This window comes from Homo sapiens, chromosome 16 (genome assembly GCF_000001405.40).
Source record: "Homo sapiens chromosome 16, GRCh38.p14 Primary Assembly".
Classification (NCBI taxonomy): domain Eukaryota; kingdom Metazoa; phylum Chordata; class Mammalia; order Primates; family Hominidae; genus Homo; species Homo sapiens.
This window is the reverse complement of record NC_000016.10, coordinates 15,358,746-15,381,785: the sequence shown is the minus strand read 5'-3', so window position 1 is coordinate 15,381,785 and position 23,040 is coordinate 15,358,746. Positions and strand designations below refer to the sequence as shown.

Below are 23,040 nucleotides of genomic sequence, written 5' to 3'. Positions count from 1 at the left end.
TGAAGATTTGGAAGGAGATCATCACAGCTAATGTTAACAAGCCCCTCCTGTGTGCCAAATCATTCACCCCTCACCACAACCGAATGAGCTAAGGATTCTCGTTATATATAGTTTATGGAGAGGGAAGTGCAGACATAAAGAGGTGAATTATCTTACCCAGATCACACAGCTGATAAGTGGTGGAGGCAGAATAGAATCTAAACAGTGTGGCTCCGGAGCCCACATGCATTGATTCGACAAGTGTTTATTGAGCACCTGCCGCGGACAAGGCCTTGTGTGATTAAACAGGGTTATAATTAGTAATGTAAAAATGAGAAATCACTAATGCTTTTTAGACTTAACATTTTCTTTTTTTGTAGGTTTCAGGCACAGAACTGTATATCCAATAATAGTGAAATGGATCCCACTAATTATGACCGAAATGATGATACATTTAAATGACTTGGATGTTTTATAGGTATGATCTCGTGAAACCTTGAGAGAAACTGAATGACGAATGAAACTATTGTTCCTGTTTCACACAGAAGAAAACTGAGGTTAAAAGGGGTAAAGTAATTTTGCATGGCATGAAGTAGAAATTCAAAGTACAGGAATTTGAACTTGGTTCTGTCCTTTTCTGAAGCCCTTGACCACTATAGACTCAAACATCACCTTGTTTTTCCACTCATTCAACACTTTTTTTTTTAAAATTGTCTAATAGGTTGGCACTCATCATGAGCCCCTGTTCTCATTCTGCAAATGGTGAAGCTCTCTATTGTCCTGACCCCACGGTTCCTGTCCCATGACCAGGGCCAGCTCACCAAGGAGCTGCAGCAGCACGTAAAGTCAGTGACATGCCCATGCGAGTACCTGAGGAAGGTGAGTGAGTGCAGACAGATGGGGCCTGGTGCCCTTGAGCAGTTCCCGGGTCTCAGCTGCCACACATCTCATAGCGGGTGATGCTGGGGGAAGCTTACGCAGTCTCAGTACTGGCTTCTTCCTCTTTTTCTTTCCATACAAGTGGCTTAGGGATGGGGTAGAGTAGTTGACTTATTTGGATGAAAACCACTATCTTCTGTCAGAAACTCAAAAGGAATCATTGCTGGCATGGTAACCTAAAGAAAAACAACCAGACAAGTGCCCAACGACACTTAAAAAGGTTATTTATTATCTTGCCAAGTTTAGGCTGGGCATGGTGACTCATGCCTGTAATCCCAGCATTTTGGGAGGCTGAGGCTGGTGGATCACCAGAGGCCAGGACTTCGAGACCAGCCTGACCAATATGGCAAAACCTCGTCCCTACTAAAAATACAAAAATTAGCCGGGCATGGTGGTGTCAGCCTGTAGTTCCAGCTACTCAGGAGGCTGAGACAGGAGAATTGCTGAAATTCAGGAGGTGGAGGTTTTAGTGGGCCGAGATCACGCCATTGCACTCCAGACTGTACGACAGAGCGAGACTCTGTCAAAAAAAAAAAAAAATTATCCTGCAAAATTTGAAAAGGAAATTCAAATCAACAGCTTCTAAACTACTTTTTAACATGACTCATAATAAGAAATACATTCTACAGTACATATATATGTTCTATAATTTTGAATAAAAGAATTAACCACATCACATTTATTTTACAACATGTAATACATATTTTTTATTCTCCTTCATTTGTTTTGAATGCTCTGTGCAGTCTACAAAAAGTCCAGTAGTAATAATTAAATTATTCATTAAGTTGAACATTATCTTGTCTTTTAAAATGATAATCTCAAAAATGATCTTTTATTTTTGAGATTTATAGAGATACACACACACACACACACACACACACAGACACACACACACACATATATATATATTTTTTATTTTTTTTTGAGACAGAGTTTCACTCTGTCCCCCAGGCTGGAGTGCAATGGCACAATCTCGGCTCACTGCAACCTCCGTCTCCCGGGTTCAAGCAATTCCTCTGCCTCAGCCTCTGAGTAGCTGGGACTACAGGTATGCGCCACCATGCCCAGCTAATTTTTGTATTCTTAGTAGAGATGGGGTTTCACCATATTGGCCAGGCTCGTGTCAACCCCTAACCTCGTGATCCGCCTGCCTCAGCCTCCCAAAGTGCTGGGATTACAGGCGTGAGCCACCATGCCCAGCCAAATCTAGGGCTGGAACATGGCTGCAGCATATAAAAAGAATTGAATTCCATACTTTTGTTAACCCTGTTTTTTGTTTGTTTGTAGTTGTTGCTGTTTTTGAGACAGAGTCTCGCTCTGTCGCCTAGGCTGGAGTGCAGTGGTGCAATCTCGGCTCACTGCAGACTCTGCCTCCCGGGTTCAAACTATTCTCCTGCCTCAGCCTCCCAAGTAGGTGGGACTACAGGTGCCCACCACCACACCCGGCTAATTTTTGTATTTTATTAGAGACAGGGTTTCACCATATTGGCCAGGCTGGTCTGGAACTCCTGACCTTGTGATCCGCCCACCTCGGCCTCCCAAAGTGGTGGGATTACAGGTGTGAGCCACCACACCCAGCCCCTGTTTTCTTTTGTTTTGCTTGCTTCTTAGGGTTGTTTTTCTATTTATGGTAAAGGCATTGGCTTTCCATTTGTAGCATCAATAGAATATTTCCTGTTTACAATAACCTTATGTCATAGTAAATGGTAAAGGGATTTAAAGCAGTGCTTTTCAGCTGCCAGAGGCCTGAGAGAGTTTGGGCACACTCTGTGTGATCGGGCAGAAGGCCTGTGGGAAGTTTAGCTGAGGACAGGGCCAGGAAAGGTGATGGACAGTGGGGGTCTGTCCTGGTCACCAGGCCCCTGGGTCCTGCCCACCTGCTTGGAGCTCCCCACCCATCACACATGATGCTGCCAAGCCCTCTGGGTATTGTGGGCAAATACCTTAGGAGAGAAGCTGATGAGCTTTGTTTCTTGAAATGCACAGATTCCTTGGACATCCCTGAGAGGCCAGTCATGAAAGTCAGCTTGGTTTTCTCCCCCTCATTTGGGTTCAGAATTTAAAGTCCACACACACGGGCAGTAAGATAATATAGATAAGGACATCATCACTCGGTTTCGGATGTTAAAATGTCTAGGTGGGTTAGGGGTGATTTGAGATCACGCAACCTTGTGCCACAAAGAGGAATTCCCAGGCCAGAGGGAGACATTTTATTGCCATGTTATGATCTCATCATTGAGTTGAAAGGCAATCTTGTTTCATTTTGGATTCTTTCTTATGTTTATGTCTTATAAGGGCACTTTGAATTTCCAAGCAAATAATAATTTTGAATTAGCTTTTAATCATTGACTTCTAGCACAGTTTTATGATCAGAAACATGCTGTGTGATTTGATTGCTCTCAAATATATTGAGATTTGCTGGAACAAAATAAGTCAGGTTAATTTTTGTAAATGTACCATGCATGCTTAAAATGAATGTATGTACATTTGTTCCTGAGATACAGGTTGATGGACGGATGGCTACATGGTTGTGATGGAGATGGTTTACTATCGGGACCTTCCGCATCCTGCTGATGTTTTGTTGCTTAGGATATGAATGGCTGAGCGGAGGCTGTAAAACCTGGCACTCTGCTTGGGTATGAGGTTCTTCCTGCCATCCTGCCATCATTTGTTTTTTATGTTTTGTCGCCAAAAGTGACCTTGAGGAACCCTGGGAGCTCAGGAAGGAAGGAGCGCCCAGAAGCAGGGACAGGGAGCTGGTTGGGGAGGACCAGAAATCAGGTTTGTGAAGGTTCCAGAGAGGACCTGGCCTTGGGAGGAGCGTGGGGGACTGAGATGGGGGAGGGGTCATTGGGATGATGCGGGCACTACTTGGAATGTCCATTGTGAGGCACCACCGGGGTCATCAGGGATTGGTGGAGAGAGAGTCTAAAGCCCCAGGGTTGCTAAGGGAGGGCCCAGACCGAAGAAGGTTTGGTGGAAAGCAGAACCTTTGTCTCCTAATTGCTCCTAAGCCTCACGCTCCCTTGCCCCGCCTGTCCTGTTGCTTCCCTGATCTTCTCCGTGACCTGTAGCTAAACCTTCCACCAGCGCTTGAGAACTTAATTTGAACCGGATCCTTTCCCAGACCCCTTTCTTCTCCTCCTCCTCCTCCCCAACAGCCCCCTTCTCCTCCTTTCCCTTCCCTTACTTCTCCCCTTCCCCTCCCCTTCCCCTTCCCCTCCCCCTCCCCTCCCCCTCCCCAACTCAGATCCGGCCCCGGTCCCCGTCCCCTTCCCTCCGCCCTGCCCTAAGCCACCTCCACCTCTGTCCTGGCTGCCTCAGGGAGCCCTGAAAGGACCAGGACATGCGGGTGCGGTGGCTGCTCTTTTGGCTCCTCTTTTGGCTCCTGCTGGGATTTATCAGCCATCAGTCCACCTGTGTGAGTAGATGGGTGCTGTGGCTGCTCTTTTGGCTCCTGCTGGGATTTATCAGCCATCAGTCCACCTGTGTGAGTAGACGTTGGACCCGCGGGGTTTCTTCCTTTTTACTGGGCTGTGTCACGCGGCATGAAATTACACAGCTCAGGCCTGTAATCCCAGCACTTTAGGGGGCCGAGGTGGGCAGATCACTTGAGTCCAGGAGTTGAAGACTAGCCAGGGCATCATAGCGAAACCCCATCTCTACAAAAAATTCCAAAAAAGATTAGTCGGGCCTGGTGGTGCGTACCTGTTATCCCAGTTACTGGAGAGGCTGAGGTGGGAGGATCGCTTGGGCCCAGGAGCTGGACGTTGCAGTGAGCCGAGATGGCCCCGCTGCACTCTTGTCTCCAACAAACAAAACGGACCAAAACAAAGTGAAATGTCATTTGATTTGTGTCATCTGGTTTGATGACTTTTTTGTTTGTTTGTTTTTTAGACAGAGTCTCACTCTGTCGCCCAGGCTGGAGTGCAGTGGCAAGATCTCGGCTCACTGCAACCTCCGCTTCCGGGGTTCAAGCAATTGTCCTGCCTCAGCCTCCTGAGTAGCTCAGATTACAATGCCTGGCTAATTTTTGTATTTTTAGTAGACCACCACGCCTGGCTAATTTTTGTATTTTTAGTAGGCCACCACGCCTGGCTAATTTTTGTATTTTTAGTAGAGACTGGGTTTCACCATGTTCGCCAGGATAGTCTCCATGTCTTGACCTCGTGATCCGCCTGCCTCAGCCTCCCAGTGCTGGGATTACAGGCGTGAGCCACCGCGCCTGGCCAAAATATATAACCTTAAGTGTAAGTTTACTAACTTTGGAAAGTACATACACCAGCATAAACCAACCCCCTTTCAAGATCTACATTATTTTATTTATTTATTTATTTATTTGAGACAGTTTCTCCCTTGTTGCTGAGGCTGGAGTGCAATGGGCCAATATCAGCTCACCGCAACCTCTGCTTCCCAGGTTCGAGCGATTCTCCTGCCTCAGCCTCCCGAGTGGCTGGGATTACAGACATGTGCCACCACTCCCAGCTAATTTTCTATTTTTAGTAGAGATAGGGTTTCTCCATGTTGGTCAGGCTGGTTTTGAACTCCCGACCTCAGGTGATCCGCCCGCCTCGGCCTCCCAAAGTGTTGGGATTACAGGCGTGAACCACCGTGCCCAGCCAAGATCTACACTATTATGTCACCCCAGAAAGTGAACTCTCACTCTTCCCAGCCAGTCTCTTTCTTATCATAGGTTAGCTTGCTTATTCTGGAATTTCACGTATACAGATGCATGCCATGCCATAGGTACTCTTTTGTGTCTGCTTTATTCTGCTCAACACCGTATTTCTGAAATCATTACCATTGTTGTATGCTTCTCTAACTCCATCATTTCCATTTCAGACTCAGCATATGCTGAGTTCAACCTGTTGAAGGGCTATCTCTGTTTAATTCACCATCTTGAAAGAAACATTTAAAATTGAGATGTTTTCAAGAATATATAGTTAAATCCTGAGGAATTGATGTAGAAATGTTATCACAAGCTGTCTGAACTTACTCAGGGGAAGTCTTTGTCTTCACTCACATAAGAGTCTAATGGAATTAATATCAACAATCTTAGAGAAATCCCACACTATTCATGCCATTTTCATGATCTCCACCTTGGTAATTTTTTTTTTTTTTTTTTTGAGACAGAGTCTCGCTCTGTCACCCAGGCTGAAGTGCAGTGGTGCGATCTTGGCTCACTGCAACCTCTACCTCCCAGGTTCAAGTGATTCTTCTGCCTCAGCCTCCCAAGTAGCTGGAACTATAGGCGCGTGCCACCATGCCCTGCTAATTTTTTGTATTTTTAGTAGAGATGGGTTTCACCGTGTTAGCTAGGATGGTCTCAATCTCCTGATCTCGTGGTCCACCCACCTCGGCTTCCCAAAGTGCTGGGATTGCAGGCGTGAGCCACCACGCCCGGCCCACCTTGTTACTTTTTAAGAACTAAAATTCGATACTTATTTGTGAATGAAATAATCTCTTCATTGTATTTTTTTTTTTTACTTATGCTGAGCTTTAAATGACAAAGATTCATATAATCCAAGAGAGAAGTATTATTTAGAGGGATTCTTTTACCATGTGATATATAATAAATGCATCCAATGTTATACATCAATTTAAAAAACAAGTAAATAACTAAAGAAAAGATAACTACTGGCCAGGTGCAGTGGCTCACACCTGTATTCCCAGCACTTTGGGAGGCCGAGGCAGGTGGATCATGAGGTCAGGAGTTGGAGACCAGCCTGGCCAAGATGGTGAAACCCTGTTTCTACTAAAAAGACAAAAATTAGCCGAGCGTGGTGGCAGGCGCCTGTAATCCCAGTTACTCAGTAGCTGAGGCAGGAGAATCACTTGAACCCGGGAGGCGGAGGTTGCAGTGAGCTGAGATCATGCCACTGCAATCTAGCCTGGGTGACAGAGCAAGACTTTGTCTCAAAACAAAAATAAAAGATAAGATAATTACTTTATACTTAGCTTGTCTTACCCATGAGTGACGGGCTGCATGTGGCCCAGGACAGTTTTGAATGCAGTTCAACACAAATTTGTAAACTTTCTTAAAACATTAGGAGATTTTGGCCAGGTACAGTGGCTCATGCCTGTAATCCCAGCACTTTGGGAGGCTGAGGCGGGCAGATTACCTGAGGTCAGGAGTTCGAGACCACCCTGGCCAACATGGCAAAACCCCATCTCCACAAAAAATACAAAAATTTGCTGAGTGCACTGTCAGGCACCTGTACTCCCAGCTACTCAGGAGGCTGAGGCAGGAGAATCACTTGAACCTGAGAGGCAGAGGTTGCAGTGAGCCGAGAGCACACCACTGCACTCCAGCCTGGGTGACAGAGTGAGACCCCATCTCAAAAACAAACAACAAACAAAAACAAAAAAAATGGCTGGGCACGGTGGCTCACACCTGTAATCCCAGCACTTTGGGAGGCCGAGGCAGGCAGATCGCCTGTCAGGAGTTCAAGGCCAGACTGGCCAACATGGTGAAACCTCATCTCTACTAAAAATACAAAAATTAGTCAGGCATGGTGGCAGAGACCGGTAATCTCAGCTGCTCGGGAGGCTGAGGCAGGAGAATGGCTTGAGCCCAGGAGCTGGAGGTTGCAGTGAGCCGAGATTGCACCACTGCACTCCAGCCTGGGCGACTGAGTGGAGCAGAACTCTGTCTCAAAAAAAAAAAAAAAATTTTTTTTTTAGATCATCAGCTATTGTTAGTGTTAGTGTATGTTATGTGTGGCTCAAGACAACTTTGCTTCTTTTAATATAGGCAGGGAAGTCAAAAGATTGGATATCCCTGCTTTATACCAAGAAAGACAACACCCCACATTTGCAATGCCTAAAAACACTACCAGCCATCTGAAAAACATGAGACTTCTCTAACTTCTGTTCTTTTTTGTAGCAGTGGAATCCCACGGTGATATCTGAGGGATGTGGTTACCTTTTGGAGGAGGTTGACGGTTTCTAAGGATGATTCTTTCTGAGTGAAATATTGTCAGTGTCATTGACCTTTTCATTATTTCAACTATTATTATTCCAGGTTATCAATACTCTGGCTGACCATCGTCATCGTGGGACTGACTTTGGTGGAAGTCCTTGGTTACTTATCATTACTGTGTTTCTGAGAAGTTATAAATTTGCCATCTCCCTCTGCACAAGTTACCTTTGTGTGAGTATACTAACTTTCTGTAGAGGTATACTTGTAATCACAAATAAGAATAAATTATATGAAACAATTCACGTTTCTGGACTTCATTATGAATATGTGGTTTTACCCAAAAAATCAGGGAAATGATTTATTAGCATAAGAATTATGAAAATATCTGCCATTTACATTATGAAAATTAAATAGGTCGGTGTTTAATAGAATGTCAACAGAGCTTTTGGTCAAAAATAAGTTTTTTTAACCTTTGTGCTATTTGTCACAAATGGAGTATGAGGTTTCGTCACTTAAATGGGAAAGTCTTTCTAAACTCTTCTGCTTTATAGTTCTATCGTATGGGTGGAAGGAAAGCTTCCAATCTCCTCTCTGAAGATTCACTGCAGAAATGAGCTGACAACAGACAGCTTAACAGGAAAAGAAAAACATAGAACAGGCATAAACATGGGAACCAGCTGAAAAATGAGACTGCTAGAAGGGCTGGATGGTTGATGCTTAAAGAGCACCCTCTTCTGAGGGTAGAGGGAGATAGATGGAGATGTAGGCCATTTAGAGGGGCAGCAAATGATTTTTAGGGGAAATGAAAGAGCCCAAGGAACAAACAGTTGGCCTGAGACAAAGTTCCTCTGAGGTCATAGGGACGAGGTGACAAACTGCCGGAAGGTGAAGGGCAGAACTGCACTGCGTCTCATGATGCAGAGAAAGCCCCAGAGAATCTCTTAGAACTGCCCTCCAAGAGAATCAATGAAAAGTGTGTCTGGGCAGGGTAATTTTGAATGACATCATTCAAAGTGCATGTTCCCACTTGCAACTGGAGAGAGATCCGTATGTCAAAAGTCTGTACTTGGTAAGAATTTGGCTGCTAAGTTGTGCCATAATTTGTCTTTTGAGCCTTTTTTCCTTTGGGTAAGTTGAGCTCTACATTTTGTCTTGCCATTCATGACAGTAAAAATGTGGTTGTCTGGGGGCTGAACCTCCTTCTGAACAATGATCCAAGATAAAAGTACTAATACCACAATGCTTTTTGATATTCAAGGGAAGAGGAAGTATGTTTCAGTTTTACTGCCTAGATAATTACACGTCATTTGGCACTGCCTTTCAAGATATGTAGAAAACAGAAAATATATGAGTTATGAAGATATCTAGGCACATTTAACATTCTCTATGCCACTTAGTCCTGAACAGAGAATTTTTGGTATAAATTGGAGGAAGCTTTTTTTTTTTTTCTTTTCTCACCCCCAAGAGGAGTCTCCCTCTGTTGCCCAGGCTGGAGTATAATGGTGTGATCTCGGCTCACTGCAACCTCCACCTCCTGGCTTCAAGTGATTCCCCTGCCTCAGCCTCTCAAGTAGCTGGGATTACAGGTGCCCACGACCATGCCCAGCTAATTTGTGTATTTTTAGTAGAGTCGGGGTTTTACCATGTTGGCCAGGCTAGTCTCAAAACCCGACCTCAAATGATCCACCCGCCTCAGCCTCCCAAAGTGCTGGGATTACAAGCGTGAGCCACCACGTGAGCCAGGGGAAGTTTTTAAATTTACCACTTTTTAACAATTCCATTTAGGAAAGTTCAGTTGAGCTGTTGGACTTGGACAACTTTGTACCTCTCATCTTTGTCCTTGTCATCTAGTCATTACCTCCTAAGCAGGGACATCATGGGTGTCATGAAGCATTCATGTGTGATGGCATTTCTTTGCTTCTCATTTCTTCATGTGTTTGACATTTCTCCTAGCTCCAAACTGGGCCAGCTACCTTTCCTATGAAATCTAGCAGTAGCTGTGGGATAGACGTGGTTGCTCTTTTCATCTTTTTAGATTACCCATTGCTTCTCTTGAAATCCTAGTACATGATTTTTTTTTTATCCTATGTGCAGAAATCAGGAAAAAACAAATTCTACAAAGAATTTGAAAGATATTATTTCAGGCCAGGTGTGGTGGCTCATGCCTGTAATCCCAGCACTTTGGGAGGCTGAGGCAGGTGGATCACTTGAGGTCAGGAGTTCAAGACCAGATGGGCCAACATAGTGAAACCCCATCTCTACTAAAAAGACAAAAATTAGCCAGGCATGGTAGCAGGCACCTGTAATCCCAGCTACTTGGGAGGCCGAGGCACAAGAATCGCTTGAATCTGGGAGGTGGAGGTTGCCGTGAGCCAAGGTAGCGCCACTGCACTTCAGCATGGTTGACTGACACTCCGTCTCAAGAAAAAAGTCATTTCAATGACTACCTCAGGAGATTCATAGGTATCTGACCCACATCTCAGATGGGATTTGCGTTGCATTTTAGCTATGATGAGAACAAATATTTAATATCTTCGAAGATTAAAAGCATACTGTGATAATATGGAAATCTTGGTGGGAATTCAATCATTAGTGAGAATGTTTTGCATTAAGTTCAAACCAGCCTCAACGAAGCTGATGTGAGGGAAGGGAAAGTGAACTCTGAGTAGAGCAGGGACAGAAGAAAGATGCTCCAGTGCAGATCAGGAAGGAGCAGGGGGTGAAATGTTACAAATTCTAGAACTCAGAGAGCTGAAGGTAATTAATTACTTCCTTTTCAAGTTGTGAAACATGTTAACCTGTGGTAAAATACTTACAAGATGATAATTACCATCTAACCATGTTGAAGTGTACAGTTCAGTTGTGTGAAGTATATTCATGTCATTTTTTTTTTTTTTTTTGAGACGGAGTCTCACTCTGTCACCAGGCTGGAGTGCAGTGGTGGGATCTTGGCTCACTGCAACCTCTGCCTCTTGGGTTCAAGCAGTTCTCCTGCCTCAGCCTCCGGAGTAGCTGGGACTACAGGCGTGCGCCACCATGCTCAGCTAATTTTTGTATTTTTAGTAGAGACGGGGTTTCACCATGTTGCCCAGGATGGTCTCCATCTCTGGACCGTGATTCACCCGCCTCGGCCTCCCAAAGTGCTGGGATTACAGGCGTGAGCTACCGCACCTGGCCTATTTTTTTTTTTTTTTGAGACAGAGTTTGAATTTTGTTGCCCATGTTGGAGTGCAATGGCACAATCTCAGCTCAACACAACCTTTTCCTGCTGGGTTCAAGTGATTCTCCTGCCTCAGCCTCCCGACTAGCTGGGATTACAGGCATGCACCACCATGCCTGGCTAATTTTGTATTTTTAGCAGAGACAGCGTTTCTCCATGTTGGTGAGGCTGGTCTCAAACTCCCGACCTCAGGTGTTCCGCCTGCCTCGGCCTCCCAAAGTACTGGGATTACAGGAGTGAGCCACCATGCCAGCCTCATGTCATTCTTGTGTGTTTGTGTGTGTGTGTGTGTGTGTGTGTGTGACAGAGTCTCATTCTGTCACTCAGGCTGGAGTGCAGTGGTGTGATCTCGGCTCACTGCAACCTCCACCTCCCAGCTTCAAACGGTTCTCTGCCTCAGCCTCCCGAGTAGCTTGGATTACAGGCGCCCACTGCCATGCCCGGCTAATTTTTGTATTTTTAGTAGAGATGGGGTTTCACCATCTTGGCCAGGCTGGTCTTGAACTCCTGACCCCGTGATCCACCCTGCCTCGGCCTCCCAAAGTACTGGGATTATACGCATGAGCCACCGTGCCTAGCCGTCATTCTTATATTATTATTTCCTAGGTGTCTTTCCTGAAGACTATCTTCCCGTCTCAAAATGGACATGATGGATCCACGGATGTACAGCAGAGAGCCAGGAGGTCCAACTGCCGTAGACAGGAAGGTATGGCTCTGTTGGAGTCCCCATAGTGTGGAAATGAGTTTGCCCTGGAAAGGGAAAGAACAGCTTCTTGCCCTCAGGTTTCTCACCTTCTCCTCTCCTCACTCTCACCAAGGGCTGAGGTCCGTTTGTATGCACACAAAGAAAAGAGTTTCTTCCTTTCCAGGAATTAAAATTGTCCTGGAAGACATCTTTACTTTATGGAGACAGGTGGAAACCAAAGTTCGAGCTAAAATCCGTAAGATGAAGGTGACAACAAAAGTCAACCGTCATGACAAAATCAATGGAAAGAGGAAGACCGCCAAAGAACAGTAAGATGTGCCTTGACACAAATACTGTTGTATGAACCATGTGCCAATCAAAGTAGACAACTGTAAAGTCCTTGAGAATATTTTCTACAATATTTGTGGCAAATTCAGTGGGTTCAAAATTGAGTTTGTCCTTTCTGCTTCATTAGTTTAAGCTGTATAATTCCTTTCCCTTCCTACAATCTTGTTTGTCATTTTTTCAGGGGAAGAGGAGTTGCTAGTACTGGCATTGGTTTTCCTTTCTCTCTCTCTTTTTTTTTTTTTCCTGAGACGGAGCTTTGCTCTTGTTGCCCAGGCCGTAGTGCAATGGCACAATCTCAGCTCACTGCCTTTTGGGTTCAAGCAATTCTCCTGCCTCAGCCTCCCAAGTAGCTGGGATTACAGGTGCCCACCACCACGCCCAGCTAATTTTTGTATTTTTACTAGAGATGGGGTTTCACCATGTTGTCCAGACTGGTCTCGAACTTCTGACCTCAGGTAATCCACCCGCCTCAGCCTCCCAAAGTGCTGGGATTAGAGGCATGAGCCACCACACCCAGGCTTTTTTTTTTTTTTTTAATTTTGAGATAGAGTCTCGCTCTGTCGCCCAGGCTGGAGTGCTATGGTGCAATCTTGGCTCACTGCAACCTCTGCCTCCCAGTTTGAAGCAATTCTGCCTCGGCTTCCCGAGTAGCTTGGATTACAGGTGTGTGCCACCACATTCGGCCAATTTTTTTTTTTTTTTTTTTTTTTTTTTGAGACAGAGTCTCACTCTGTCACCCAGGCTAGAGTGCAGTGGCATGATCTTGGCTCACTGCAACCTCCGCCTCCCAGGTTCAAACGATTCTTATCCCTCAGCCTCTTGAGTAGCTGGGACTACAGGCATATGCCACCATGCCCAGATAATTTTTGTATTTTTAGTAGAGGCAGGGTTTCACCATATTGGCCAAGCTGGTCTAGAACTCCTGACATCATGATCCGCACACCTCGGCCTCCCAATGTGCTGGGATTACAGGCGTGAGCCACCGTGCCCAGCCCAATTTTTGTATTTTTAGTAGAGACGGGTTCACCATGTTGGCCAGGCTAGTCTTGAACTCCTGACCTCAGGTGATCTGCCTACCTCAGCCTCCCAGTGTGAGCCACCGCACCCAGCCTGGATTGTTGAATTCAATGCTTGGGTCACCTCCAGATTCATTTTCACAGTCTTTCATGTTTTGGTCATATTACATTGTATTTTGCTGCCATATGACTGATCTTTTTTTGTTAAATGTGAGATACTTTTTAAAAAATATTTAGCAATGAACTGAGACCTAGTAGCATGTTATCTTGCTGCAGAAGAGATGGGAGTCTACTTCTGGGGGATGGTCAGGGGTCCTCCATACAGGCTGCAATTGAGGTCGTCTGTGCAGGCTCAGTCCCTACAAAGGCCAGGGTATTTCCTGTCCACCTCTATTCTGATGCATGACTCTTCTGGGTCTCAACCAGAGCCAGTGGACTTCAGTATGGGTCGCTTTCATTGGCAGACCCTCAATCCACTTGTTTTCCATCTAACCCCACGCATGTGTGCAAAAGCTGCTGTGCTTCTTTGCATCTCAGTAGTTCCTTCTGGAATTCAGCAATGAAACTCAGGGAAATGGGTTCCAAATGCGAGGCTGACTTTCGTCCTGGGTTTCCTTCTTCTCCATCTTCACCTCATGTCTGTTTACTGCCATGTTAGCAATTTGATGTATTCAATCATGGGTTTTATATTCTGTTTGGTGTCCCCCATTGTTCTCATCGGAGATCAGAAGCTTCAGATGCACTTATGTCAACTCAAGAGTAGAATGCTTCCTTAGCTTCCCTCCAGAGTCAGGTTTTGTGTTTCTAGTTCCCAAGTGCACAGCAGGAGTAGTGATGTCCTCACTGGCTTCTCATTTGCATTAAACTGTGAGCTTCTTTAGCGTGGGGACAGGACCCTGCTCCCATTGCATTGTCAGCACCTCACCACACACTCCTTGTTTGAGGCCACTCCAGACAGCATGTGCTGAAGGATGCCCTGTGGTCAGAAACAAGTTCATTAACTTTCTCTTTGAAGTGTTTTCGTCCCTGTTTCCTAGCGTTCTGGGAATTTTACACATCCTTCCTATAAAACCAAGTATCAGGTGAGATCCTTAGGATCACGACCATGAATCAAGTGGTGTGAGGGCAACACAGCAAACTTACCCTTTTGAGGCCGTTTCCTTTTTCTGCCCTCAATCTCTGTGAACTGAACCTTGTTAAAGTCAGTCAACACCAGGGTGGATGGTTTGCCGTTGTCACCTATTTTCAGGACATAACACCCTGACTTAGGAGCCATTCCCATCATTTCTAATTCAATAGATGCGCCCAGCATTCAGATTGCCTTTTCAGGATCTTTAAAGTCGATGACAAGAGTTCCAGTCCTGAATCATGGCAAAGTGCAGTAGTGAACTGCAGGGTTAATGACACCATATTCTGGAAGGATCTCTCTATGGCTGATGGTCTCAGTTCCGGCATCAGCCTCTGACTGAGAATCAGTCTCACACAGGAGGAGTCAGATGAGGAGCAATCCTCTGCTTCCGATGGAGTTAGTTGTGATGAATTGGTGAGGTCTGGTTTTTCACACTGAACTAAAATGAGCTTTTGCTGTGTCAAGCACAAGACTGACCCCAGAGACGCACATAGTGCACCTCATAGAAGCTTTTAATAGTCTTTATATTTACTAAAGAATAGGACTAACTATGGAACTATGAAGATGAGCTGGAAATGACAGGTGACTTGCCAGCAGGCCAGAGTGTGATTTTTTTTTATCCCTCAATGGGAGGTGTCCATTCTCCCTTCGGTTGTGAGAATCAGTTGGTTCATTTGTGGGAAGGTTGCAGGGGGGATCTTTGAATCACAGCCTTCAGATGCCAGAAGGGCAGAGGGAATCCCACACGGGCTGGTGGATCATGTGTGTGCATTTCTCTCCCTTCTAGTCTGAGGAAACTAAGCATGAAAGAACGTGAGCACGGAGAAAAGGAGAGGCAGGTGTCAGAGGCAGAGGAAAATGGGAAATTGGATATGAAAGAAATACACACCTACATGTGAGTTCAGAAACTGAACCCCACCCTCTTGGGAAACGCCCATTGGAGTGTTGTTTTTAACCTTTGTACAATGTTTAGACCCAGTAAATGCAGAAATAGAAACAAATGGTCAGAAGACATATCGTGAGAGAGAGAGAGAGTTCACAAAACAGAAAACAAAGTACCTTAATATTTACCAGTGACCAAAAGATGTGAAGTAGCAAAACGGCTCCTGACCCCATTGCCAGCTAGACTGTGTGGAAACTCGGTTCATACCAGCCATTCTAGGGGTGGGGTGAGTTGTTGTCATCCTTAGGAAAGTGTGTTGTTGTAGGATCAACCACATCCTTCAAAAGGACTATGCCTGTTTATAAGCCCAGCTGTTTCTGCCCTGTGAAACACGGTAAAGATATTAATACAAAGAGAATACAGCTTTATGATAAAAGATGCTCAATGAAGGATGAATTAGGGATATACTGAGAATGGGGAAGGAAGCTATCATCTCAGAAGTCAGCAGGCAGTAAGCAAGAGGAGGAATCAATACAGCAACAGTTTGGATCAGACTGTACAGTTTTTTTTGTTTTTGTTTTTGTTTTTGTTTTTCTGAGATGGAGTCTCGCTGTGTCACCCAGGCTGGAGTGCAATGACGTGATCTTGGCTCATTGCAACCTCTGCCTCCCAGGTTCAAATGATTCCCCTGCCTCAGCCTCCCGAGTAGCTGGGATTACAGGTGCCTGCCACCACCCCCGCCTAATTTTTTGTATTTTTAGTAGAGACGGGGTTTCACCGTATTAGCCAGGATGGTCTCAATCTCCTGACCTCGTGATCCATCCGCCTCGCCCTCCCAGAGTGCTGGGATTACAGGCGTCAGCCACCGTGACCGGCTCAGACTGTACTCTTACAGCCATCTGAAATACGTTTTCTAGGTAGAGATAGATTGTGTAAGGGTACAGTTGTGAGGATAACAGAAACATGGCAGATTATTTAAAATCATCCTGAAAGTGGTGCTTTATCTGATGAAAGTGATTGTAATCCATAGGGAAATGTTTCAACGTGCGCAAGCGTTGCGGCGGCGGGCAGAGGACTACTACAGATGCAAAGTAAGGAGCTTCCTCCCCGCAGTTGCAGGATAGTTCAGTGCTGATGCAGATGATGCCACGGCCCTTAGACTCTCTCAACATTCAATTTCTCATGTGTTGGCTTTTTCAGATCACCCCTTCTGCAAGAAAGCCTCTTTGCAACCGGGTAAGTTTGCTTGTTTTCCTTGCTTTTGGACATAGTCTGCCAGGTCAGGACATGGATACATTTTTCTCCCTACGGCTCTGTGCTCAAGCCCTGCAGAGGGAGATGGCAGAGAGGAAGGCTGCCTACAAGCATCACAGTCCCATCCCTGTTGGTAACCGTGTTGCGCAAAAACACCTTCATCCCCACCCAGTGGGGCCCCCATCTAATATTCTAAGTGTCAGAGGTTCCATATTTGTAATAGCAAATGGGCCCTGACTGTAAATTAGTGAAGAGTGAATGTAACTTATTACCCACAGGGACAATTCCAAATGAAGGCCTTAAATGATGCTCAGCTAAGCTGGTTCTTGTGTGGCCTCTGTACCTTCAAAAGCTGCCGAGTCCTATGATTACACGCGATGGGACTTCTACACTTGAAGTGAAACACAGTTTTAAAACTTGCTTTGTTTAGAATTCCCACCTCATTTTTCCATGGACAAAAGTATTCTTTAGGTCCTAGTGCACTTACAATTTGGTATTACCTGGGAGTGAAAAGAAATATTACAGCCATGCCTAACTGACTTCTTGAGGTAAGATTGTTCTGTCAGAAAACCCTCTCCCAGTTCCCCTGCAGCTCTTCAGGAATCCACATCTCTCCAGAGCTCTTTGTTCTCATGGGTGGCACCTCCAGAGTGAAGAAGATCCTTTGTCAAGAAGGGAAACAGAGGGGAAATGAGAGGGTCCTGCAGGCAGAGCTGGAATCAACTTCCACTCTGCCTCTTGCAAGCTGTGTGACCCTGGGCACAATTTCTCCTTCCTCTGGAAACCTCTGTTTTCTTAGATTTGGAGCAGGGTGGTCACACTGACCTTGCAGAGTTCTGAGAATCAGAGACAGAACATAAAAGGCCTGGAAAACATTCTCCAAAAAGAAGCTGCAACATGTGTGGACAATGGGCTTTTCATGCCTCTCTTACTGTCTCTTACTGTCTATTGACCTGGTGCAAGAAACATGCTCTGGTGATGGCTGTGAGGGAGGAATGAGGATAGACATAGACACTCCTGTGTCTCAAACATGCTTCTTTATTACTCTGTTATGACTCTGTCTTCCCTGGGGCAGGACCCCAGCCTGCCTACATTTGCAGACAGACACAGTGGCATGTGGAGACAACAGTGTGTCCCAATGACTTTTCTTTACCCCCCAGTTGTCGGCAGTACTCAGTGGAAGGGTGATATTATGACACTGACACTGCTATTTTGAAACCTGGAGGATGGAAAGGTGCAAAAATCTATCACCAGCAACAGAAGGTGCAGACTGTGTTGGTGGCGGTAATTTTGTCCATCAAATGAATATGTGTGAAAACATTCCCTCCTTTGGCCCTACAGGTCAGAATGGCGGCAGTGGAGCATCGTCATTCTTCAGGATTGCCCTACTGGCCCTACCTCACAGCTGAAACTTTAAAAAACAGGATGGGCCACCAGCCACCTCCTCCAACTCAACAACATTCTATAATTGATAACTCCCTGAGCCTCAAGACACCTTCCGAGCGTCTGCTCTATCCCCTTCCACCCTCAGCGGATGATAATCTCAAGACACCTCCCGAGTGTCTGCTCACTCCCCTTCCACCCTCAGCTCTACCCTCAGCGGATGATAATCTCAAGACACCTGCCGAGTGTCTGCTCACTCCCCTTCCACCCTCAGCTCCACCCTCAGCGGATGATAATCTCAAGACACCTCCCGAGTGTGTCTGCTCACTCCCCTTCCACCCTCAGCGGATGATAATCTCAAGAAACTAATGAAGAATAAATAAATAATATAAAAATAAAATGAATACTGCAGTCCTTATGTTATTGCTTTGTTTCAATATCTGGTATGATTGCCTGAGGGACCTGAGGTTTTTAATCATAGGGGTTTTTTTAATCTTTAGAAGTGGTTGGTTATGTAAAATATTATTATTTGTTTTTTTTTTGAGACTGGAGTTTGCTCTGTCACCCAGGCTGGAGTGCAGTGGCTCGATCACAGCTCACTGCAGCCTCAACCTCCTGGGCTTCAAGCAATCCTCCTGCCCCAGCCTCCCAAGTAGCTGGGATCACAGATGTGTGCCACCACGCCTGGCCAATGTTAAAAAATCCTTTAACTTTTTTGTAGAGATGCACTCCTGGACTCAAGCAATCCTCCTACTTGTCCCGACCACCAGCCTCTTTCTGATAAACATTTACACTGTTTATTATCTGATGCCATTTCTATCTTCTTCCTTGTCATCCAGACATCAAAGAATTAGGTTTCTTCAGGGTTTTCTTTTTCAAGTGCTCAGTGTTAAAGATCACTCACATTAGGGCCAGACACCACGGCTCATGCCTGTAATCCCAGCACTTTGGGAGGCCGAGGCGGGCAGAGCACTTGAGGTGGGGAGTTTGAGACCAGCCTGGCCAACTTGGTGAAACCCCACCTCTACTGAAAAAATACAAAAATTAGCTGGGCATGATGGTGCATGCCTGTAGTCCCAGCCACTTGGGAGGCTGAGGCATGAGAATCGCTTGAACCCAGGAGGCAGAGGTTGTAGTGAGCCGAGATCACATCAGCACACTCTAGCCTGGGTGACAGAGCGAGACTGACTCAAAAAATAAATAAAATAAATATCACTTACATTAGATATACCCAAGGGGTGGTCTATAGAGACTTGGAAGCAGTGGTTATTGCAACAGGGGCACGGAAGTCATCTGGCTATGTCAGGGTGCCCAGGGGATACTCGGGGTGGGTGGCATGGTGCTGCTGGGGACTCACCGCACAGGACGCTCTGATTGACGCACTGCCAGGAGTAGCGCTCTGTCTTGGGGCTGCAGCCGGCCTCCTCAGCTCGAGTGTAACAACAGTCGTGGCCATGGCAGCACCTGCGGATGTCACATGGGCAGGACAGCAGGTGGGTGAAGCTCTCTCCTGGCCCTCCTCTCTTGCCAGGACTATGGGTGACTGAAGACCCCCAGGGAGGCACAGCATCCTCTTATCTAAGATTTTTTTTTTTTTTTTTTTTAAGAGACAGGGTCTTTCTCTGTCGCCCAGGCTGGACTGCAGAGGCACAATCATAGCTCACGGCAGCCTTGAACTCCTGGGCTCAAGCGATCCTCCCACTTCAGTGTCCCAAGTAGCTGAGACTACAGGCACACGCCAGCATGCCCGGCTGGTTTTTTAATTTGTATTTCCTTTGAGACAGCGTATCTCTCTGTTGCTCAGGCTGGAGTGCAATGGCTCAATCAGCTCACTTTAGCCTTGAACTCCTGGGCTCAAGTGATACTGCCACCTCAACCTCCCAAGTCTGCTACTACAGGAACACAAACTCCTTTTTTAAATTTTTTATGGATATGGGGTCTTACTATGTTGCCTAGGCTGGTCTCGAACTCCCAGGCTCAAGCAGTCCTCCTACCTCAGCCTCCCCAAATGCTGGGATTACAGGTGGGAGCTACTGTACACCTGGCCTTATCTAAGCTGTTTCCCTGAAAATCCCCGTCTTGGGTAATGATTCCATTGGCCCCACCATGCCCTCTGCCTTCCTGGCTGTGCCCAAGCTTGGTCCCTGCCTGCCTGCCTGCCTCCCTCTCTGGGTCTCGAGCTCCTGTGACACATGACTCCTCTCTCTTCCTGGAGTGATCCAAGCCCTGCCACTTCCTGACTTTGCCCACACTGTACCCTCTGCCTGGGGCAACTTCATGTCTGCCCATTGTCCCTTAGGCCTCAGCCCAGGCACAAGCCCCTGCCTCCGGAGGTCATCCAGGCCTCACCAGGCTACACCCTCTCGTAAAATTGGATTCCCTCCCTTCAGGGCAGGTTTATAATGAAATCCTCCTCAGAGGCCAGGTGCGGTGACACCCATCTGTAATCCCAGCACTTTGGGAGGCTGAGGTGGGAGGATCACTTGAGGCCAGGGGGTCGAGACCAGCCTGGGCAACATAAGAGAGACTCTTGTCTCTATAACAAATTTAAAAATTAGCTCACCAGGCCAGGCTCAGTGGCTCATGCCTGTAATCCCAACACTTTGAGAGGCCGAGGCAGGTGGATCACGAGGTCAGGAGTTCGAGAGCAGCCTGACCAACATGGCGAAACCCTGTCTCTACTAAAAATACAAGATTAGCCAGGCATGGTGGCACGCACCTGTAATCCCAGCTACTCGGGAGGCTGAGGTAGGAGAATTGCTTGAACCCAGGAGGTGGAGGTTGCGGTGAGCCAGGATCACGCCATTGCAGTCCAGCCTGAGCAACAGAGCAAGACTCTGTCTCGAGACAATAAAAACACACAAAAAATTAACTCGCCATGATGGCACATGCCTATAGTCCTAGCTACTTGGGAGGCTGAGGTGGGAGGATTCCCTTCAGCCCAGGAGTTTGAGGCTGCAGTGAGCCACTATGATTGTGCCACTGCACTCTAACCTGGGCAAAAGCGAGACCCCAGGCTAGAGTGCATGATTTTGGGTCACTGCAACCTCCACCTCCCAGGTTCAAGTGATTCCCCTGCCTCAGCCTCTTGAGTACCTGGGACTACAGGCATGTGCCACCACGCCTGGGTAATTTTTGTATTTTTAGTAGAGACAGGGTTTAGTAGAGACCATGGTGAAACCCCGTCTCTATTAAACAAATCTCTACTAACCCCATCTCTACAAAAAACAGCTGGGCGTGGTAGTGCACACCTGTAATTCTAGCTACTTGGGAGGCTGAGGCACGAGAATCATTTGCATCTTGGAGGCAGAATTTGCAGTGAGCTGACATCGCACCACTGCGCTCCAGCCGGGATGACAGAGCAAGACCCTGTCTCAAAAAAAAGAAAAAGGAACAAACAACAGCAACGACAACAAAAAAACCTCTGTGTCAATCACAGCCTTCAAGCTAGGGGAGAGGCGGCCGAATTCTGCCCTCTGCTAACTAACTATAGCTTTGTGGAAATGGGTGAGTGGCGTGCCCTTGTGAGCCTCAGGGCCCCATCTGTAAAATGGGCATAACTGTCATGCCCGTCTTTAAGAACAGCCTTGGGGGTAAATGAGTGGAAGTCATGGAAACATCTCAGCCCACAACCTTCCACAGAACAGACGCTTCTCACACAGTAAGTAGCAGGAGTGCAGAGGCTGCAGGCATGAATCCAGCCAGACTGCCTGGGTTCAAGTCCCAGCTCCCACGTCTTGGTAACTATGTGGCCTCAGACAAGTTACTTAATATTTCTTTTTTTTTTTTTCAGACGGAGTTTTGCTCTGTCACCCAGGTTGGAGTGCAGTGGTGTGATCTCAGCTCATTGCAACCTCTGCCTCCCGGGTTCAAGCAATTCTCCTGCCTCAGCTTCCTGAGTAGCTGGAATTACAGGCACCTGCCACCACACACAGCTAATTTTTGTATTTTTAGTAGAGACGGGGTTTCACCATGTTGGCCAGGATGGTCTCGAACTCCTGACCTCGTGATCTGCCTGCCTCAGCCTCCCAAAGTACTGGGATTACAGGCGTGAGCCACCGCACCTGGACACGTTACTGAATATTTCTGTGCCTAGGTTTCTTCATGTGAAATGGGATTGTTGTGAGAACACAAAGGGATTCCCAGGGCAGTTCCTAGTGCATAGTCTGGCTGCCTTTGTATGTGTGTGTGTGTGTGTGTGTGTGTGTGTGTGCACGCGCGTGTGTGTGTGTGTTTAATATAGAGACAGGGTCTCACTCTGTTGCCTAGGCTCGTTTCAAACTCCTGGGCTCCAGTGATCCTCCTGCCTCGACCCAAAGTGGTGGGATTACAGGCATGAGTCAACACACCTGGTCACTTTATATTATTATTATTTTTTTCTTTTGAGACAGGGTTTGGCACTGTTGTCCAGGTTGGAATACAGCGGTGCAATCTCAACTCACTGCAAACTCCGCCTCCCGGGTTCAAGCAATTCTCCTGCCTCAGTCTCCCGAGTAGCTGAGATTACAGACGCCTGCCACCACACACAGCTAATTTTTGCATTTTTAGTAGAGATGGGGTTTCACCATATTGGCCAGGCTGGTCTTGAACTCCTGACCTCAAGTGATCTGCCGGCCTCGGCCTCCCAAAGTGCTGGGATTACAGGAGTGAGCCACCGCTCCTGGCCAATTTTTTAAGGCAACGTTTTCAGCCCATGGCCAGGGTAAGGCACAGCTAGTACCAAGATCTGGCTTCACTGGCCATGTTATCCAAGAGGCCTCTGCCTGCCTGCAAAGTAGTACTGCACACTGGGATCTCCCTGGACCAAACCCCAGCTTCAGTTTTGGGTACTTCCTCATAAGCCTTGACTACCCCAGAGTGTGAGGGATTTTGCAGCCTGGTCCCAGGCATGCACTCACCAGTCAATGGCATCGCGGGGCTGGCCATGGCCTCCCAAGCCACAAAAGCAACCATATTTCACATAGGCGATGGGAGTTCAGGGACCAACACAACCCACAATTCCTGCCAGTTCCAGGATCCCACGCCGGTGCACACATAATATCCTGGAGGCTGGGGGGTAAACAAAGGTGACAGGCTGCAGGTCAGGGCTTCCCAGACCCCTGGGAAGGGCATGAGCCTGAGAGGAGCCCAGGTGTTACAGCCTGGCTGTCTGGGTTTGAATCCTACTTCCTGGCTGTGTGACCTTGGACAAATTCCTAACCTCTCTGGGCCTTGGTTTCCTCATCTGTGAAATGGGGGATAAGCTGACTTCAACTCATATGAATGAAATGAGATAATGAGTA

At 46.7% G+C, this 23,040-nt stretch overlaps 1 protein-coding gene and 1 pseudogene across 14 annotated transcripts; one reads left to right on the top strand and one right to left on the bottom strand.

Moving 5' to 3' along the window:
* NPIPA5 (nuclear pore complex interacting protein family member A5) lies at nt 140-18,162 on the top strand. 14 transcript variants are annotated; one of them, XR_932754.4, is made up of 11 exons: nt 140-546; nt 701-858; nt 3,613-3,699; nt 7,943-8,071; nt 11,667-11,766; nt 11,930-12,074; nt 15,026-15,133; nt 16,152-16,212; nt 16,322-16,357; nt 16,854-17,638; nt 17,717-18,162. XR_932754.4 is itself a non-coding variant. In XM_011522336.4 (11 exons), the coding sequence occupies exons 2-10, from the start codon at nt 739-741 to the stop codon at nt 16,908-16,910; spliced, it is 843 nt and encodes a 280-aa protein (XP_011520638.1). In that variant the 5' UTR covers nt 140-546; nt 701-738; the 3' UTR covers nt 16,911-16,923; nt 17,717-18,162. The 14 variants fall into 14 exon arrangements, 13 of the variants coding, with proteins under 13 accessions (XP_011520638.1, XP_024305900.1, XP_011520631.1 ...); XM_011522336.4 differs by having other exon boundaries at nt 16,854-16,923; XM_047433465.1 differs by having other exon boundaries at nt 415-546; nt 16,854-17,892.
* On the bottom strand, nt 19,112-22,808 carry PLA2G10GP (phospholipase A2 group XG, pseudogene; annotated as a pseudogene).

Excerpts from the sequence above, each read along its gene's own strand:
- NPIPA5 (XM_047433463.1), top strand. The coding sequence starts at position 739 with ATGGTGAAGCTCTCTATTGTCCTGACCCCACGGTTCCTGTCCCATGAC. Across the intron at positions 15,134-16,151 it reads AAAGAAATACACACCTACAT|GGAAATGTTTCAACGTGCGC; the intron begins GTGAGTTCAGAA and ends TGTAATCCATAG. Across the intron at positions 16,358-17,716 it reads GAAAGCCTCTTTGCAACCGG|GTCAGAATGGCGGCAGTGGA; the intron begins GTAAGTTTGCTT and ends TTGGCCCTACAG.